Genomic DNA, 20,381 nt, shown 5'->3' with positions numbered 1-20,381 from the left:
CAAACCCTTTTTCCAATTTCACTTCTCAGATGAACTACATCTTGACAGGGAGTAAAAAAAGATTAAGATGACAATCACAAGCTAATTATTATTTGCACATCCCTCTGTCTTTTCTGGTACTAGCCAGGTGTTGTAGGGTAGAAAGGAAGCATTATTGTTCACAGTTGCAAGTGAAGAACATTGGAAGAGCAAGTGTGTGTATTGGAAGAATACATTCCATGGGTTTAAGTGATTTTTATTCATAATTGGACAGTTGTTTGAATTATTTGTCAGTAAGTAGACTCTCTACAACATATATGATTTAGAAAACCACAATGAATTTGTTTCTCTTCTTTAGAAAGACACATTGCCATAGTTAGGCATATGCTCATATGAGTCTTAGGATGTGTGTGAAGGTCGGTTGGGACTCCTTTGAAAATGTCTGCCAGAGCAAAAATGCTTGGTTTTGAATTTAAAAGGCCATTTAATCAAATTCTCTAAGTTAATTAAGTGGTCTTTTAGTGCTTTAAACCAGTGAAAAATGTTTTTACTGGTTTTGTATTTTAAATATATTGTTTGGAAAGCTCAGGACAACTTTTAAAAATCAGCTTAAAAAAAATCTGGCTTCTATATTTGGCAAAAAGTATTTTGTCCTGTATTTGGCCAATCCTATCTACCAGTAGTTATAAGACACATGTATCATTTCATATGTGTACCTAGACATGTCTGTAGGTACAGATGAAATGTAACTTCATAGTATCATAGCTGGTTCTTGATTAGTAGGACGATTTGATTGAAGTTTTCAGTCCTGAAAATAACAAATGCAAGAATCAAAGTGAGTGTTGTTTGATAGCACCTTCAGCAGCTGTTGAGAGGACTCAGTCTAGCATGGCATTTCACTGTTGTGATTTAGCATGACTCGCCAGGGCATGAGGAGGAGGGAGCGAGAGAGAAGCCAGCAGGCAGATAACTATAAATATCTGTAGTGCCTTAAATGCCAACCAATTCATTCTTCTTTTTAACAAGTAACTAGACTTGTTAAAAGGATTATACCATGTAATCAACAGGATTAGGTGTCTTGAAAAAAGATTAACACTTACAACATATATATATATATATATATATAGAGAGAGAGAGAGAGAGAGAGAGAGAGAGAAACTAAAATAAAGTTACAAACACAAAACTATAGAGCAGAATGGACAAAGCCATAGAGCAGATTACCAAAGAATTTGAGAACCTTTTAAAAAAACTTAACCTTTTTTTACTTATTATATTTGGCCAGAACCTTCTGTCAGCCAGGCAAAAAGGAGAACTCGGGCTAAATAGTTTTCATTGTTGGATAACGGGGAGCCTGGACTTTCTAATCTGACCCAACTATTTTATTTTAGAAAATGTGTGTGCCACAGTCAAAGCCCTGGTGCTGGAGCTGGACAGGCCCCTGGCTTGGAGGAGGCCACAGAGAGATGGAGTCGTGAGCCTAATGAGGGCACCATATGGGCTGTTTCAGATTTATGCAAAAAGTGCAGTGAAAACACAGAGGACTCTGCCTGGGGCAGGTCCAGGGGTGAAGGAGGACTCAGGGACTTCCACGAGGAGACTGTCCCTAAGCTGGGTCTTAAAGTACATCTGGCTGCCAGGGAGGGGTTATCCGTCATGTGATGACAGTGTCATGAAAGAGAAGGTTTTCCTTTCTGGGAGTGGATGGATGGTGTGGGGAAGATAAAAGAAAGGATTAAGACAAAGATTATAATCCTTAGTCTGAAATATACATTTAGTCCCATTTCAGATAATCTTATGGTAATTTGAGGTTTTCCTCCCATATTACAAACATTGTTTAATACTCCTTTTCTGGTTACATGACACATACCATTGGGGAAGGCAGTACCACTGGGGGAGACAGTACCACCGGGGGAGACAGCACCACCGGGGGAGGCAGTACCACCGGGGGGAGACAGTACCACTAGGGGAGGAAGTACCACCGGGGGAGACAGTACCACTAGGGGAGGAAGTACCACCAGGGGAGGCAGTACCACTGGGGGAGACAGTACCACCGGGGGAGACAGTACCACCGGGGGAGACAGTACCACTTGGGGAGGCAGTACCACCGGGGGAGACAGTACCACTTGGGGAGGCAGTACCACCGGGGGAGACAGTACCATCGGGGGAGGTCTCTACATAGATCTGCCACTGGGTGTGAGTAAGGTAGTGTTCGAGACCTACTGGAAGACAAAGGACTTCCCTGGTTGTCAGTTAAAAAGTGAATATTTCATAACATATGGGCCTGGGAGAGTGGTAGAGTGTCTGATTTATCTAGTGGAAATAAGGATGATGATCATGATATCAGTTGCCATTATTTGGTGCTGACTATGTGCTGGGCACCAGTAAGTGGGCCTGACTCCAGGGTCTGCCATCTTAAAAGGAATGTTTAAACTACCACATGGACATCAGTGAAATACCCAAGGTGGATGAACCTCTGTGAGAATAGGCTCTATGAGTGACCATTGCTGAACCCCACCCATCTGGGGAGGGAAGCATTACTCACTGAAGTTTTTGATGCACCCGGCAGGGTTACCCGGAGGAGTATGAGGAGCACAGGGGAAAGGGCAGCTTCCCAGCTATGATCACTCCAGCATATCAGAACGCCAAGAAAGCTCACGAACTCGCTAGTGACGTAAGTACCATGTAGGTGTGACCACAGAGCCAGAGGCAGAGAAGTGAGACTTTGAAGGCTGTGCTTACTGAAACCTACACACAGATACATTTATTATAGCTGAGCCAAAGTAGAATGTTAGCCCTCAACTCCCATCCAAATTTATGATGCCTGCTTTGGCCCCATTTGTCTGCTTCCAAGGAGATGGACACGGACAGCCAGCATAGCTCGCTTGAGGCCATTGAAGCAAGTACAGAGGCTGGCCAGCCAGAGTGGGGTGTTAGGAGAGTTTTGCCAAATGGCCCAATTAGAAATTGAGTAATTTAGGGGAAGAGCTGATTAAAATAAGTCATATGATTATCAAATTGGGTGTAACCCGGTGATGAAATGATTTTTATTGGCAGAATGTTAGCCTGCTGGCAGTCCTTGGAAGGCAGGGTATAATTAAACTTGGAAAAGTGACATGCTCACTGCAGATCTTAGCATGCCAACTGGAACTTGGTCTCAACAGAACCTAGCATTCATTTCACGCCCCTTGCCATTTTCTTTTTCTTTCCTTTTCCTTCACTCTCTTTTCTTTCCTTTACCAAAGAACTATTCACCTATTACCCATTGACCCATAACAGCACCATCTTTGCCTGAGGAAGGAAGTTAAAAGACATTACTCTGCCCCTCATTAGCAGGGAAATGATGTTTAAACCAAGGGCAGAATGGGTTTGGACTGACAACTTTTGTTATGATTATTTTAAGACTTTTTTTTCCCACGCAGAATTAGAGTATAAAGTATAAAAAGTGTGAAAAGGGCCAGGAAAATTTTAATAACAAAAAAGGACAAAGTAGTTTATAGATTTAATGAAGAGAAAAGGCCATGTGAATTTTTTTTTCTTTCAGAAAATTGTATTAAGTAAATGTTGACATTAAGCCCAGGATAACTTTGGAGTAATTCCCCTCCCAGAGCATGGAAACATCAACTCCAGCCCCGTTTTGTGTTTTTTTTTTCAGATAAAATACAGGCAGGACTTCAATAAGATGAAAGGCGCTGCACATTATCACTCGCTTCCAGCTCAAGACAACTTGGTTCTCAAACAGGCTCAGAGCGTAAACAAACTCGTGAGTGAGGTGCGTATGGGGGAAGAGTCACACCCATGAGCATCACCTCTTTTATCTCCTATAGTCAGTGAATGAGGTGACCCTATAATAAAAAGCTCTGGTTAAAAGTGTGACACCGGCCAGGTGCGGTGGCTCACGCCTGTGATCCCAGCACTTTGGGAGGCCGAGGCAGGCAGATCACCTGAGGTTGGGAGTTCGAGATCAGCCTGACTAACATGGAGAAACCCCGTCTCTACTAAAAATACAAAATTAGCTGGGTGTGGTGGCGCATGACTGTAATCCCAGCTACTAAGGAGGCTGAGACAGGAGAATTGCTTGAACTCGGGAGGCGGAGGTCGCGGTGAGCCGAGATAGTGCTATTGCACTCCATCCTGGACAACAAAAGCGAAACTCCATCTCAAAACAAACAAACAAACAACAAAAAAGGTGACACCACCTATTCTACCCATTGGTTACTGGTTTCAAAGAACAGATATGCGGTAAAATGCAATTTACAAGACAGCCTAGAATCAAACCAATTACATCTTTCTCTGGTGGTTCAGAAGTTACTTCCTAAATCCTCCCAGGGCTGTCAATATTCAAAAGTGCCAGGCAACAGGCTTCTAGTTGCCAGAAAGAATACTGGAGGATCCATCTTTTTAAACAAATCAAACATCTGAAAGATGTTTCAAATGTCAAACCCCTCTCGTTCTCTTATTACTGAAGTCTGAGTTCTGAGAAGCTGTGTATTCCATGTGAATTTCCCTTACCTTACATGCTGCACTGGCTGCCTGAGGGGTGTGTTTTGTTTGGCTTGCCCACCGTTTAAGACGTTTTTATTGTGAGGACTGTTTGGCAAGGAAATATCCCCTGTAGAACCTCATATCCTTCTCATGCCCTAGTGTGTTCTTCACGGCATTTTCCCTCATTTGCATTTCTTATCTGGACTCTGAAGGCATTTGACTTGGCAGCCTCTGGCAACGGGAACAATTATGGCAATTCAAAGCATTCACATAACAAGTTATCTGCAACTCACAAACAGATATGCAAATATCCAAAAATATTTTCCGTCTCTAACCTCTAAAAGCTGGTCCTTTACCCTAAACTGTTAGTTAACCCGTGATCCTCTAACTTGGGGCTGCTCTGAGTCACCAGCAGTGATATTTTCCCAAGCCTCATCAGGAGCCTCAGATACTTTGAAGTGGTAGATGACTGTTGAGGCTTTGGAATCTGCATTTTAAACAACTGTTCCAGATGATTCTGGTACTCTAGACCAGAGGTCAACACACTACAACCTCAGTGACAAATCCAGCCCACTGCCTGCTTTTTAAATAAGTTTTATTTGAACACATTCATATCACATTTGTTCCTGGATTATCTGTGGCTGCTTTGGAGCTACAAGGGCAGAGTTGAGTATAATAATTGACAAAGAATTTGTAGCCTGCCAAACCTAAAATATTTACTGTCTGGTCATTTATAGAAAAAGTTTGCTGGCCTTTGCTCTCACTCACAGAACACTAGACCTAGATGGGACCTTTTCCATCATTAGGCTATCACTTTGTCATACGCCTGGAAAAGTAAAGTATCTAATTCTGGGTGGTAGAGACTTTTAGGGACAGAACTGGATCCATACCACTGGGAGTGCAGTTCTACCACCCAGGAATAACACTGTTAACATTTTGGCCTTTTTTTTTTTTTTTTTTTTTTGAGAGGGAGTTTCACTCTTGTTGGCCAGGCTGGAGTGCAATGGCGCAGTCTCAGCTCACCGCAACCTCCACCTCCCACGTCAAGCGATTCCCCTTCCTCAGCCTCCTGAGTAGCTGGGATTACAGGCGCCCACCACCATGCCCAGCTAATTTTTTGTATTTTTGGTAGAGACGGGGTGAAACCCCGTCTGCTGGCCAGGCTGGTCTTGAACTCCCATTTTAGCCTCTTTCTATATGAATATACTGTAACTGAAGGGATGAATATAAAAATGTATTTATAGAATTAGAATTAGACATACCCCCACCATATAGTTTTATAAGATATGATAACAAACTGTGGGGTATTTCCTTTGGTAAAGAAGTTGCAAGGGAACCTTCCATTTCTTTACGTCCTTATGTTTAGTCAGTAAGACAAACCAGCCATCTATTGGTGGTAGTTGGCCTTAACTGCCTCATGCTAATTACCTGAGATGACTTGGAGTCTATTTAATAAATGTAGCCTCACATCCTACATCCAGGCACCCGGGAGAGCTCAAATAGCCAACTGATTTTAAATTAGAAGACACTCTGCATCTGAGTGGTCTCATTTATTATACTGCTTGTAAAGTAACTTTCCTCGTTGAATTGCATTGAAGTATACCTATAAAGATGTGCATACATCATAAATGTATAGTGGGAAGGATTTCCTTAAGTGGGACACACCTGTGTGACTAGCAATCAGATCAAGAAACAGAATACGACCAGACATCCTCCTAAGACATTTCCATTACAGGAAATATGATTTATCCCCGTAATGCATTTCCACTCAAGAGTAACTACCTGAGTTGTAAAACCAGTTTTGCCATTTTTTGAGTTATGAAATCTTATATTATTTGTTCTTGAAAGCGACTATATGCTTTTAATTTTCTGAATGAAACCAATTATTTGCTATTTATTATGATTCATTTTTATAAAGGAAAATATGTCCTGCTAACTTAGCATATTCTATGCTTGATATGTTAAAATCTTGGGTTGAAAGTTTTCTAAAAATATCCTAGTCAAGTCCTGGGACATTTTCAAGAGTGACTTCGGATTTGGTTCTATTGTGTGTCTGGTGTTTTGATTTCCAAGGTGGAGTATAAGAAGGATCTGGAAAGTAGTAGAGGTCACAGTATCAACTACTGTGAAACACCTCAATTCAGGAACGTGAGCAAGATCTCAAAATTTACCAGTGATGTGAGTTGTTAACGCTAAGCTTTTGTTTGGGCACTGTTGGTGAGCTTAGTCTTTAGGTCTCCTAAGAGGGACAGTCTATGGGAATGGATCTATGTGTCTTGGAGAAGCATGGCCTTTTAGGCATAAATGCCTGGGTTTTGGTTAAGGTTGCCTGCTGGGATTGGTCCTCATAGTGTTCAATTCTGTCACATCCCCAATCTTGACCCTGAGTCCTCTGGGCGGGACCTGTCCTCTCCGTCCCCTTGCTTCCCTTGTGTGCAGCACAGTGCCCAGCTCATAGTGATGAATGCTGGTGAGGGGGCCTGGCTGAGCATGTGACGTCCCCTCTCAATGTGACTTTGTGCTTCTGAGTTAATATGACCTCATTTCACCCTCAGAGTCACCTGGAGAGCCAGATGTTATTTCCCTATCTTACAGATGAACAGATATGTACTAGAGGGGCATTCGCAAATTTGGAGATTCTCAGAGCAGGTCTGAAGATGTATCCTCATGGACATCAAAGACCTATACTAGATAGTATGCTTTACTTTTGCTTAGTTGCACATAATAGTAGAATTTAAAATTGCAAGGGACTGTGTAAGGCACAGTGAGGAATTTATTTTGCATAAATGTAGTGGCTTAAGAGCCAACATACCTTATGTCCCAGTTATTAATAGCAAAGTGGCCAATTTTGGGCAGTTGTTTAAGCTCCCTGAGCCACTCTGCCCAACTCTAAAATGGGGATGATAATAGTTCCTTCCCCCTCATAGAGTACTTGTGAAGATTAACTCAGATAAGTAGAATCATATCTGATATATAGTCATAAGTAGTATTCTGTTTAAACACTAGCAGTACCGAGAAATGCAATGGCCTCCCAGGTTAGGTGATTTTAATACCCCAAATTTCCTATTTATGACCTCTTGTCATCCTGTTTTGGTCTTCTCTTTATTTGATAAGTGGCATTTGACACATAACATAATTATTTCACATAGTCGCACTAGTGACCAACTTTTACATCACAGAATTTGGCAAAGCTCAGGTTTTGTCCTTCATATATTTAGAAATGGAGGTAATGGCATGCAGTGATTTGTACCAGCCTCAGCATGGGGCTTTGCATGTGACGTCCGCATAGTCAGTGCCTGCCACTGTCTCATGGTAAATTTTCACATTGGAAAAATCTGGTAAATTTAAAACTAAAAATGTAAAAACAAACACAGAAAGTCAAGTCTGTTTTGTGCTGTCTATGCTCATCTGATCCCATGTTTCCTTGTCTTCCTGTCTTACTCCAACTTCTTGTGATGGGTTGAAATTTACGTTATTAAAAAAAAGTTTGCCTTATTTTTTATTCTGTGATACGTTGACTATTTAAATGGGTTATATTTAATCATTTATGCCTTGGATTTAATGCATTAAGATGAGTAGTTTATCTTCAACTACTTGTGAAGGGAATGCTTTGGTTGAAAACTTTGCGTTTCCATGTAGAATAAATATAAAGAAAACTACCAGAACCACATGAGAGGCCGCTATGAAGGAGTTGGTATGGACAGACGCACTCTGCATGCTATGAAAGTTGGCAGCCTGGCAAGCAACGTGAGTCCTTTTATGCCAGGGTCTGTTGGGATGGAGTGGGGCAGGGCATGAAGAATTCAGCCAATTCTTTTTAAATTCCCCTTAAAAAAAAATCTGTCTTCTATTTTAAAGACTGTGTAAAGACTGACCCAAAAGAGTTTCTAAATGTTAGCGGATACAACCAAGGCTAGGTAAGATCCCTGAAAATTTTCAAAGGCTTCAATTTGTTTATATTAGCTTTCTCTAATTTGAAGAGTACTTCAGTCTATTATAATGAATCCAGTGTGGTTAACACTTTCAATTTCTGAGAGAAAAAGAGAAATGAATAATTATGATTCTTATTCCAAATTCCCCAGGGTTCCAAAGCTTTTGTGATTTATTGAGAGTTGGTTGGTTGGTAAGCTGGTTTGTTCCTTCATTCATTTTTTTGATCATTGTATTCATTGAAAACCTACTGTGGCCTGGCACTGGTCAGGGTAGTGGGATAACAGAGTAGATCAAGTCCTTGTTTTCCCCTGTAGCATATACTCTATTAATCTCTCTTTAGCTTCGTCAATCCAGTTTATAGATTTACAAATACCAGATTGTAAATCCTGGAGGTAAAGGACACTTAAAGGAAACTGATTTCATTATTAAAACATACAAATGTCGGATTTTCTCTGCTTAAGAATGTCAATTTGATCTTTAGAAAAAAAATTAAATACTCTGAAGACTCTTCACCTTTCCATCTATTTTCTTGGGGTTAGCCAAGGAGCTCTTCCATTGCCTATCCATGTGAAAATGCTTCTTTTCAACAAAAATGACAAGCAGCTTCATAATTAATATGAAATATAAAGTAAATGTGCTACAGATGGAAGTTAACTAATTTTGGACTAATTAAGAGGAATTCAGATTCATTAAAGACAAAAGTGTGAACATAATTTAATTTTCCTTGAAGGTGATGAAACTGAATTCGTTTCTGGGTATTTAAAAAATATTTCTTATGGCATTCAAACAAAGCCAAAAGAAAGTAGAAATTGATTTCTCCATTCTTCTTCTTTTCTTCCTGTTTTAGGTTGCCTACAAAGCTGATTATAAACATGATATTGTCGACTACAACTACCCAGCCACTCTCACGCCTTCCTATCAAACAGCTATGAAACTGGTGCCCTTGAAAGATGTAAGTTCTTTTCCAACAGCTCTTTCTGCTTTGTCACTTGTCGCTTCCTTCCTGAGGAGTGATTTGTAGGTAGCAAGATGGAAAGAAACATGATACAACAGTTCATAAGAGGTTGAAGGGATTGAGGAAAGGGAAATCCTTTTCTATTTTCCACTAGGAAGTTCATTTATGCATGTTTGCACACCCTTAGATTTTCAATGTGAACTAGGGACAACTCTAGTTTTGTCTTGAAAATAACCTGAGGTTCAGTTTTTCCTCTTAGAATTCAGTGAGCTTTGCCTGCTGGGCACATTTCAAATGCTTGTTCCTTAGCAAGGATGATTTGTTTTCTTTCTTTAAAAAAAGGTTTGTTATGTAGTATGTTAAGAGTTGAAGGAAGTAAAATAAAATGTCTACATACAAGTTGAGAGGAAGTGGTACTATTGACTCCATTTTTTCTCAGGAGCACATGGAAAAGTATATGTATCCCTTAATTATTACAGCAGCGATTTTATTTATGGTTTGGCTTGTTCCAAGCAAAATGTGTGCAATCAATTAAATTTCTTGTTTCCTGATTACAAGAATTTTACTACATGTTTATTATAGAAAATTTAGAAAATACGGAAAAGTGCAAAGAAAAAGATAAAAGTCACCTACTAGCTTAAAAAGTACTTAAGGTGGCTTAGAAGAAAGGTTGTATTGTGGTTGCCAGAGAAGGTTATCTCCAATCAATCAATAATTTAACAAATAATTCAGCGTATATTTATGAAAGTCAAGTGCTACTTTCCTTTGCTTTCCTTTGGGATCAGTACAACTTTAGAAATTGATTGAGGTTTTGCTACTGGTAGATAAGTCTCTGAATCTGTCTCTCTCTCTCTTGCTCAGAGTTGGGGCAGTAGGATTCAGTTGGTTATCTCCAGTGTCCAACCCAGTGCCCAGACATCAGAGGACAATCATTGGCAAATGATATTTATTGAATGAAAGGGGCTTTCCAAATGTGTAATAAAACAGGAGGAAGGAAGCTGAGGAATTGATCAGGGGCCTAAACTTTGCTTCTCTTTTTCTCAGGAAGTTTGGTTGGATTGACTTACTCATTTCACAAAGTTAAACTTGACCACTACCAAAGCTACATTTTTTTTTTTTTTTTTTTTTTTTTGCTATATACATTACCTGGGAAACTTGCAGATCAAAGGCACCTTATTAAAATTTGAATATGTGCTTTTGCAGTAGGATTCTATAAATCATGCCTAATAAGTAGCACAAAGAGTGCAAGATGTACTTCCATTATGACATGACTTGCTACTACATTTATCTAGATAAGACTCTGAGTCAAACCAGGCACCTGGAAGCCCACCCGGGGAAGTCTGATACAGACTTAAACCAGACTGAATTAGAAATATTAATTGAGTTTAGAGGTGGGTTCACTGGCAGCCCATGAGCCACATTTGCACTACGGAAGTGCTTTGTTTGGCTACACAGTGGGTTTTGTTGTTGTTGTTGTTGTTTTAATTGAACCAACATGTGGAAGTTCTGATTTTAGACAAAAACTAATACGCTCACCTTTTCTTGAAAACCCTGAGACATTCTGCCCTAGTTCCTGCAAGGCAGCAATTGGCTGGGACTGGGTGGTGACTGCTCTCTGTTGCTGTACCTCCTTTAGCTTACCTTCCTGGTTCTGATGTGAATTTGAGTTTATCACCCATAATGTAGGGATTTTAATAATCAGGAAGTTTGGGGAATCCATTTACAAGAACAATTGTGGTCTCTCTGTCTGGTAATCTTAAAGGTGGTGAAATAGCCATGAAATTAAATAAGCAAGCATGGGTTCTTAATTTGAGAGCATTCCCTTTAGATAGATTTTATAAACACTAATAGAATTAAAATGAGACTCTATCTTTAGCAAAAAGAAAAAAAAACCTTCAAAATGTAGACTGAAGCAATGGCCAAGCATTTGTGGTGTTGCAAAGATGTGGTTAATCATGGAGACTTTTAATTATGTCCCACAGAGTAAAGTAATTGTGCTCAGTAACATACTTAATGCAGAATTATCAGGAAGAAATATGCCATTTAAAAATATAGTATTTGTGACATTTTATCATGCATAATTCTGAATTCTAATAGACTCTATTATGAGATAATAATTTTGCCTCCTGAATTAATACATTAGGAAGTCACTGTACTTTAATCTAATTAATAGTTGACATTGAAATGACTTTATATTTCCTAATTTTCTCTACACACCCCATGTCCAAAACTCAGAACATGCAAAAACTTTTCTCCTTGAATCATTAACTAAAAAGCACAAAATGATTTTTTTTTTTTTTTGAGACAGAGTTTCACTCTTGTTGCTCAAGCTGGAGTGTAATGGTGCGATCTCGGCTCATAGCAACCTCTGCCTCCCGGGTTCAAGCAATTCTCCTGCCTCAGCCTCCCGAGTAGCTGGGATTACAGGCATGCGCCACCACGCTCCCTAATTTTGTATTTTTAGTAGAGATGGTGTTTCTCCCTGTTGGTCAGGCTGGTCTCAAACTCCTGACCTCAGGTGATCCGCCTGCCTCGGCCTCCCAAAGTGCTGGGATTACAGGCGTGAGCCACCACACCCAGCCTAATGATGTTTTTTAATCTCCAAATCCAACAAAACACTCCACGGCCCATTGTCAGGAGCACTTCGTTATTTCTAGGTCCTGTTCTAGAAGTTCACTTGTAAGTCATTTGTTTGTTTCTAGAATGCATTTCCCTGTCTAAACAATGCTAACTCTGGCTAAGGGGAACCCCTTGCCCATCTGTAATATAACAAATAATCGCTCTAAGCACACTAGCTTTGGCAAACCAGGTTTATAGAGTATAGGTATAGAGCCACCTTGCGAGGCAGACTCCTGGGATTTGAATCATAGCTCTGATACTTACTGCCTGGATGACCTGGAGCAAGCCACTTTCGGTCTCTGTGCCTCAGTTTCCACATTGTAAGGTAGGGATAATAATAGTGCCTAACCATAGGGTGGTGGGAAGGATTAAATGAGTTACATGCATGATGTACTTGGAATGGTGCTGGGTGCATAGTAAGTACCATGTGTTAGTCATAATTATGATGAGCTGGTGTTAGGACAGGCAAAAATGAAATGAATACAAGACCCAGACTCAGGGAAGACATGGAGTATACAAGTTAGTAGCCAGTGGGCCAAAGTGGCTATTAGACCTATTTCTCTTGGGTCACTGGATTTTTTTTTTTTTTTTTTTTTTTGAGATGAAGTCTTGCTCTGTCACCCAGGCTGGAGAGCAGTGGCATGATCGTGGCTCACTGCATCCTCCACCTCCCACATTTAAGCGATTCTCCTGCCTCAGCCTCCCGAGTATCTCGGGTTACAGGCGCGAGCCACCACGCCCGGCTAATTTTTGTATTTTTAGTAGAGACAAGGTTTCACTATGTTGGTGAGGCTGGTCTTGAACTCCCTACCTCGTGATCCTCCTGCCTCGGCCTCCCAAAGTGCTGGGATTACAGGCATGAGCCACTGCCCCTGGCCCGGGTCACTGGATTTTTAAAATATTGAGCTATTTGTTAGCATTTAAAAATTGCAAGATTTTGCATCATAATATGGATTTCTGGTTTCTTTGGAATAACTGGAAAATCTGGCTTCTGTACGCCCTATTTGTTGCATCACAACAATCTCCTAGAGCTGGGCAGCAGCTGCCTCTCTTTGCCATAGTCCTCTCGACTCCTTACTTCCCCAACAGTAAGGCCAAGCATTGGACTTGTACCCAGCTAGTGGTCTATCTGGCTCCCAGAGACATTTGTGACTTTTGGGTTGCAAAGACTCCTTGAGGTGGGCTGTCATCTCAGGGAGGTGGCCATAGGAGTTAGCAGCAGATAGGAGGAAGACAGAAGAGCAAAGACATCAGGCTGTAGTCTAGACAGACAGGAAATGATAGAACAGTACAAGAGTGGCCAAGGTGTGGGCCCTTGGGGAGGGCAGAGCCAGCTGCCAGAGGAGGCTGGCCAAGGCCATAGGTGAGGTCCAGGCAGAGATGTCAGTAGATAGTGGTGACACAGAAAAGGGGTGTTGTTCTTAGGCAAAACCCAGGCCTGAAGAAGTTGCCACACTGTGTGGGATTCTGGGTGGGGCCTTTGGCCTTGGGCAAGAAAAGAGAGACATGAAGTCTGTGAATGAGGTGTTCAGTGGTGATCCTGTCGCTTTGAGCCAAGCCGGGGGAGCTCAGCTGGCAACAGGCCCAATCTGGAGCCCGTGGGCACAGAGATTCAGATGTCCAGAAGCACTGGGTCAATTTGGGATCCTGGGAGTGAGGACCCATCTGAGATATCTATGTGGGCAGGGAATGTCTGAGTTTGCTCACTCTGCAGAGTAGGAACCCCACGACAGTTTGTTCAAGAAATAAATGGATGGGCAAGTGGATGAATGAAAGGAACCAGGTGAGCATAAGGGAAGGAGAGCAGGGTTAGAGATGAGTTTACTTCTTCCTCTTTTACCTGGATTTCAGATAACCTTGGTTAAATTCTAAAAGAGGGCCAGGTGTGGTGGCTCACGCCTGTAATCCCAGCACTTTAGGAGGCTGAGGTGGGAGGATCCCTTGAGGCCAAGGGTTCCAGACCAGCCTGGCCAACACGGGGAAACCCTGTCTCTACTAAAAATACAAAAATTAGCCAGGCATAGTGGTGCACGCCTGTAGTTCCAGCTACCAGGGAGGCTGAGGCGCGAGAATCACCTGAACCCAGGAGGAGGAGGTTGCAGTGAGCTGAGATCGTGCCACTGCATTCCCACCTAGGTGACATAGTGAGACTCTGTCTCTAAATAACAAATAAATCAAAATAAACTGTGAAAGAGGTTATCTGCTATCCACAACCTCTCCCTCTTTTCTTTATCCTAGCTTTACTTCTACCTGCATAGGTTTCTGGGGCTTTCACTCAGCTCACCTTAGTGCCTCACGCCTTATCGCCTACTATCCAGCCTCAAACCTGTTCCTTTACTTCACTGCCCAAGTTCCCATTCCCTCTGCAGTGGATCTTGGTCAGGTGTGTTTGGAGAAAAATAAGATGATTGGATGCATATGATGCATATATTCTTGTGTGCAAATGGCTAATAATTCTTAATATTCGAAAGGGCAATTTGTATTTTCAAAGGGGAAAATTCCTAGTCCTTGATGTCTTGAGGTGGGAACCAGGCAGTCAATGCATCCAGCTGCACTGACGATTCTGCCTCCTCCTCTTTTGAACCTGCATCTTCTACGAAAGTGCTAAGCTTAGGGCAATTTCCTTGGGGACTCTGGCAAGGTGGAAGTGAGGGCCAGGCAGGGGCTGGTGTACGGGGTGGGGACATGTTAGGGCCACCTACAAGGAGTCGCTGATGCTCCATTGTCTCCCACTTGAAGATGCATGTATAACTTGGTTGGACTTTTTGTTTCTCTTTCATTTTACTTTTTTTAACACCTCTTTTTTGGTGAAGTATAAGACGTATATAGGAAAGTATACTATGTGTGGATATACTGCTTTAATTATTTATAAAATGACCTCAGGCATATATTTTCATTGGGAATGAGCCCTAGGCACAGAATTGTTGGGACACAGGATATGTGTATGTGCCCAAATGCCGTACTGTTTTCCAAAGTGGTTGTACCAATCTGCACTTCTGCTAGCACCGTTGTGAGAGTTTTCATAAGTCCTCATCCTTTGCCAACACTTTGTGTTACCAGCAGTTTTAACTTCGGCTCTTCAGGTGGTGTGCAGGGGTATCTTGTGGTTTTGGTATGCCTTTCTCTCATTAATAGTGTGGCTGAGCATCTTTCTGTATGTTCACTGGCCAGTTAATTCACCTCTTTTATGAGTTGCCTGTTAGATGTCTCACTCTCCAATGTACTGTTTTTCTATCTATGGGCTTGGAGTGTCTGTCAGTATCCAGTTGGAATATTGGACTCTTTTTCTACGTAGCCATTTGAGAATTGCCACTTTATTGGGCTTGGGAGAGGGAGCTAAGCAAATCTTTGAGAAAAGAGCAAATGACATCTTTTTGTGCCTGTTTTTACCTAGGCCAATTATAGGCAGAGCATCGACAAGTTGAAGTACAGCTCGGTGACTGACACCCCACAGATTGTTCAAGCCAAAATCAATGCCCAGCAGCTGAGTCATGTAAGTAACTGTCCCTGCCCAGCTGGATGTAGGGGTCTTGAAATTGCTGCTTTGAGGCCTCTGGACATCTGACCTCCAAGGATTTGACTTTCATAAATTGTGACACATGTCTTATTACAGCCAGAAAATGACCCCCACTTCTTTTAAACTTTTTATTATGGAAAATTTTGAATACATGCAAAAGTAGAGAGTATAGCATAATGAATCCCCATGTACCTGTCACCCATCTTCAACAGCCATCAACTCATGGCCACCCTGCTTCATCTATATGCCTGTCCAATTCTCCTCTTCCATATTATTTTGAAGCCAATTTCAAGTATTGTATAATGTAATCTGTAAATATTTCAGTATGAATCTCTAAAAGGTAAAAAAGAAAAAACATGTTTATATAATTTTAACATATCACATCAAAAATCTAACAATAATTCTTAGTTTCACCAATCATCCAAAGTTCAAGTTTAATTTCTGGTCAAGACTGCTTCTCGGATGATGCCGTATTCATCCAACAGGAGTCACATATCTGGTTGGCTGTCTTTTGTGTGTGTGATTTAAGATGGATTTTTGTCATTGTGGGCAGGCATTTGATAATTACCCTGCCTATAACAAGATATTCAGCACTGCAGCAAATGTTTTTTAAAAAGTTCAATATTCTCAAGTGCGTGTAAGGGGAGTTGGTGAAGCAGTCACAGGGAATTCTTTTGCAAACTCACAACTTCAAGTGTGCCTTTGAGTTTCTTTAGTTTTCATTTGACACCTTCAGTTCATTAATTTAAAACATTCACAAAAAGTACAGGCTGCCTTGTAAAATGCCTTTTCTGGAAACTCCTTCTCAACTATGGGTCTAAGGGGGAAAGAGCTATGGGTCCCTAAAGTTCTCTTTCTGCCCATATAAAAACCCTACAGATTTATTTTAAATCCAACAGGTGAATTACCGTGCTGACTATGAGAAAAATAAGTTGAATTACACATTGCCCCAGGATGTTCCTCAGCTGGTGAAGGCCAAAACCAATGCCAAACTCTTCAGTGAGGTAAGAGAGCAATGTGGGGAGACGGTGGAGGGGGTTATAGAGCGATGTGAAAACAAAGATAACAGGATGGTCCAGCAAGTGGGAAGTGTCTGTCCCTGAGAAAGGCTCATCAGAGGCATCCATCAAGTTGTAACTTTGAATTTTGCTATGTCATGGCACGTTGTAGTTTACTAGTGATAAATTGGTCATAGCCATTTATTCCCATTATATGAGCATGTGTACAATCTATGTGTGAACACACACACACACCCCCCTACATGCTCATCCTCATCACCCTAGTGAACTGGTGATTTGCTGTGTGGAGGAAATTTAAGTTTTAAGAAGATCAATCTGCATCATCAGATTCTCCCTGGAGTCACAAGTGGGCTATGAATTGGCTTCTAACTCTAGATGGAATTTTGGGGGCAGGAGAAGAAAATGAAAGGAACTAACATTGTTTAAATGCCTGTTCTATCCTGAGGCAGGCACTGTGTATGTGGAATTATCATAAGTCCTAGAAGGTATTGTAGGGACACAGTTGGTGGCATGGGCTTTGGTGTCAGAGAGACCTAGGTTCAGAAGCTGGCATTGCCATTTTTTAAATTTATGTAACCGTAGGTGAGCTCTTTAATTTCTCTGAGCCTCACAGGCCTAATGTGAAGATTTGTGGTTAATGAGTAGAAATCATTTAGGAAAAGGCCAATAAACAGTAGTTATTGCCAGGGCAATGTCAATACCCCACACTTATGTTATGCTTCACCAGTTTAAGATCTCTTTACATATATTCTATCCAATTTATTCTCACAGCAATCCTGAGAAAGAGAATATGATACACTCTTTGCAAATAGGAGATTGAGGCCCCAAGAGGTTATTGGCCAAGGTCACATGATCAGAAAACAACAGAGCAAGGAGCAACACATGGGGCTTCTCTTTGTCCTATTCCATTACCACTGGCCTGCACAGCTCTACAGCGAAGGAATCAATTAACTGTGTTAATAATTACTGTTATCATTTTGATAACAACAGCCGAGCCTCTGGTCTGTAAATAGAGGAAAAATCCAACTTTGCTTTGAAAAAATCTTTGACGTTTGGCAGGAATATGGGTAGCAACTCCTATTCACTTGTGGTTTTGTTTGTCAGGTTAAGTATAAAGAAGGCTGGGAGAAGACAAAGGGGAAAGGATTTGAGATGAAGCTGGATGCCATGTCTCTGCTGGCCGCCAAAGCCTCTGGGGAGCTTGCTAGCAATGTACGTTTCCTCTCATTAACTCAGGAATGCATAAGAAATGGTTCCAATAAAATGTCAGTGGTCCTGCTGAAAAAAATAATGACTCTTAACATTGTAAACATCGCAATACTTTAATCTTCTTCTGGATTTGTGAAAGACTGGGAGGTGTTTTTTCAGAATTGTTCCCCTTGCACTTGTTAAAACCAGAGCCCCTTAGACGGCAAAGTTTCTCTCTCACTCACAGTAGACCTTCTTCTTTCTCTCAAGATTAAATATAAAGAAGAATATGAAAAGACAAAAGGCAAAGCCATGGGAACAGCCGACTCTAGGCTTCTGCACTCCCTGCAGATTGCTAAGATGAGCAGTGAGGTAAACTCTTTTCTAACCCCCAACCTCTCACTTACAGTTGTGTTATTTTAAAAGTTTTCCCTGGGCCTACTTCACCTGGGACTGTAACCTTTTTATTGACTTCTACCTGCAACTCCTTTCTTTCCTGGCTTGCATAAGAAGTTTGTTTGGTTTATTTGTTTTGCCAAAGCATACTATTTTTTTTTAAATAGATAAGGAGTGTGGCCCTAAGGGTGACAGCATCTGCTGATCAAGGTACAAAGGTGTTCAATTGCATTTATTCATGTCACAAATGTTTGCCAAGTGACTACTATGGGCAAGACACTGGTCGAGACCCTGGGGCTATAAGAATGAACAGCGCATAATAAGTTTCTCCCTCATGGACCAAAAGCGTCCTGCTTATTGTGGTGCTGTCCTGGTCCTGTGGTTACAACACTTATGGTATTCAAATATTTAGCAAGCTGGGGCCTCCCAGGCTCCAGCCAATCGGAATGACGATGCTTGTAAACAACTGTAATAGCTGGAGAGGAACCTTGGTAAATGTCATTTACCAAGAGGCTTTGGGAAAGGAGAGTTCTGCTAGAAGAGACAGACCCAGTTTCTAATCAAGTCTTCCCTGCTGATGCTGAATAGGGAAAAAGACACAAAAGATTGCCTGCTCCAAGCTGTGAGGCCAACTTATGCTGCTCTGATGGTACAGTTGGATGTAATTATCCAATGAGTCATTAAATAGCCATAGCTTGAATACAAAAGAGGGTTGGCATCTGGGTCGCCATTTTGGATGTGTCTACAGAACAAGCCGAATGAAGTGCATAGTCATAAGGCATAAAGAGGCATTGAGAATTTGGCTTCAGTTTAGACAGAACACATTGGTGTTTCATATTTGCAGTTGGAGCAGCTGGGGGTCAAAAAGACTGTGTCTTTCCCAAAGCCATGTGGTAGTCAGCAGTAGTGGTAGAGGGGTAGCAAATTAGAGCCTAGAACTCTTATTACCTGGCACCACACTCCTTCTACTATAGCATACTATCTTCTCCCATCAGCACTACCATCGTCACCACTATCACCATCACCTTCACCATCACCATGGTCATTGCCACCACACCATAATTACCATCACCATTGTCATCACCATCATCAATCACCATCATTGCTGCCATCATCACCATCATCACTACCATCACCACCACCACTATCACTATCATCATCATCACCACCGAACCACCATTGTTATTGTCATGCGAATATTTATCAAGTATTTGCTATGTGACAGTCCCTGTACTAAGCATGTTTCAGCTATTATTCATTTACTTATCACAACAGTCTCCCAGAGGGAAACAAGTCCTTAGAGAGGTGACATAACTTTCCAGAGGTCACCCTGCTGTTAGAGGGCAGATCAGGTTTGAACTCAGGCTTGTCTGGCTCTGCAGCCCAAGCTTCTTTATTCTATCTCTTAAAGCATCTATGAGAATTGGGAATAGAGTTTTCTCCTGGAGCAGCCGGGTGAAAAGGTTTAGCATTGGCAAGAGACAGTCCTCCCAGAAACAAAGTAGTATGGAACCTCAGCTCCCTCATGATGCTGCCTTTCAGAGCCAGGACTTGGGCCTTTCTGACAGAAGGGTGGCAGTGCCCAGAGTGCCGATTCTCCTGCTCCCGAAAGCCCGGAAATCTTTCCTGCATTTTCACATCACTCCTGCAAAGGGTGGGCTTCAACTAACAAAACGGGCCTTGTTTTGGTATATTCAAGGTTGAATATAAGAAAGGCTTTGAAGAGAGTAAGACCCGGTTTCACCTGCCCATGGATATGGTAAACATCAGGCATGCTAAGAAGGCCCAAACTCTCGCCAGTGACCTGGACTACAGGAAGAAACTGCATGAATACACTGTGCTGCCTGAAGATATGAAGACTCAGTGGGCCAAGAAGGCCTATGGGCTCCAGAGCGAGGTGAGCCCACACATTATCAGTTCTCTTCATGCATCTCTTGCAGTTGGACATGCTTTCAGAGTGATTTCAAACCTGTGCACGAGTCTATTACATAACTTGGAAGACTAGGAAGAACTGCAGGAAATGTACCAGGGGGCCAGAAAGGGCAGATGGGGAGGTAGAGATATAGTTGACACAATGGAGACTGGAGGGCTCACAGCTAATGCTAAAGTCAAGATGTGTTGGTGATGGGGATGAGCCAAGGAGAAGAAAATGTTTAAAATGGTAAATAAATCTTGGAAATTTAGCAGGTTGGCAAAAAAAAGGCCCTTGGTCAACAAATATGAGAAACACTCTTTTTGCTAAGGTTGCGGTGTCTCAGCAGTAAGGTAGAGCATGCTACTCTTGTTACAAGGT

The 20,381-nt window shown here is 41.6% G+C and overlaps 1 protein-coding gene across 11 annotated transcripts in view; it reads left to right on the top strand.

Annotated features, from left to right (window-relative positions):
- The window catches only part of NRAP (nebulin related anchoring protein), a 75,328-nt gene that overhangs the window by 14,469 nt on the left and 40,478 nt on the right, over window positions 1–20,381 (top strand). For 9 of the 11 annotated variants that reach the window (NM_001322945.2, XM_047425253.1, XM_024448029.2 and 6 more), the window contains exons 10-19: window positions 2,546–2,650; window positions 3,632–3,748; window positions 6,535–6,639; window positions 8,101–8,208; window positions 9,242–9,346; window positions 15,363–15,461; window positions 16,385–16,489; window positions 17,609–17,716; window positions 17,963–18,064; window positions 19,788–19,985. In NM_001322945.2, coding sequence (NP_001309874.1) covers window positions 2,546–2,650; window positions 3,632–3,748; window positions 6,535–6,639; window positions 8,101–8,208; window positions 9,242–9,346; window positions 15,363–15,461; window positions 16,385–16,489; window positions 17,609–17,716; window positions 17,963–18,064; window positions 19,788–19,985 — 1,152 coding nt within the window. The remainder of the gene's footprint in view (window positions 1–2,545; window positions 2,651–3,631; window positions 3,749–6,534; window positions 6,640–8,100; window positions 8,209–9,241; window positions 9,347–15,362; window positions 15,462–16,384; window positions 16,490–17,608; window positions 17,717–17,962; window positions 18,065–19,787; window positions 19,986–20,381) is intronic. The other 2 variants (NM_006175.5, XM_005269864.3) reach the window with 1 other exon arrangement.

The sequence above is a fragment of the Homo sapiens genome, chromosome 10, assembly GCF_000001405.40.
Source record: "Homo sapiens chromosome 10, GRCh38.p14 Primary Assembly".
Taxonomy (NCBI): Eukaryota; Metazoa; Chordata; class Mammalia; order Primates; family Hominidae; genus Homo; species Homo sapiens.
The sequence above is the reverse complement of the archived record's forward strand: the minus strand, read 5'-3'. Positions and strand labels throughout refer to the sequence as shown.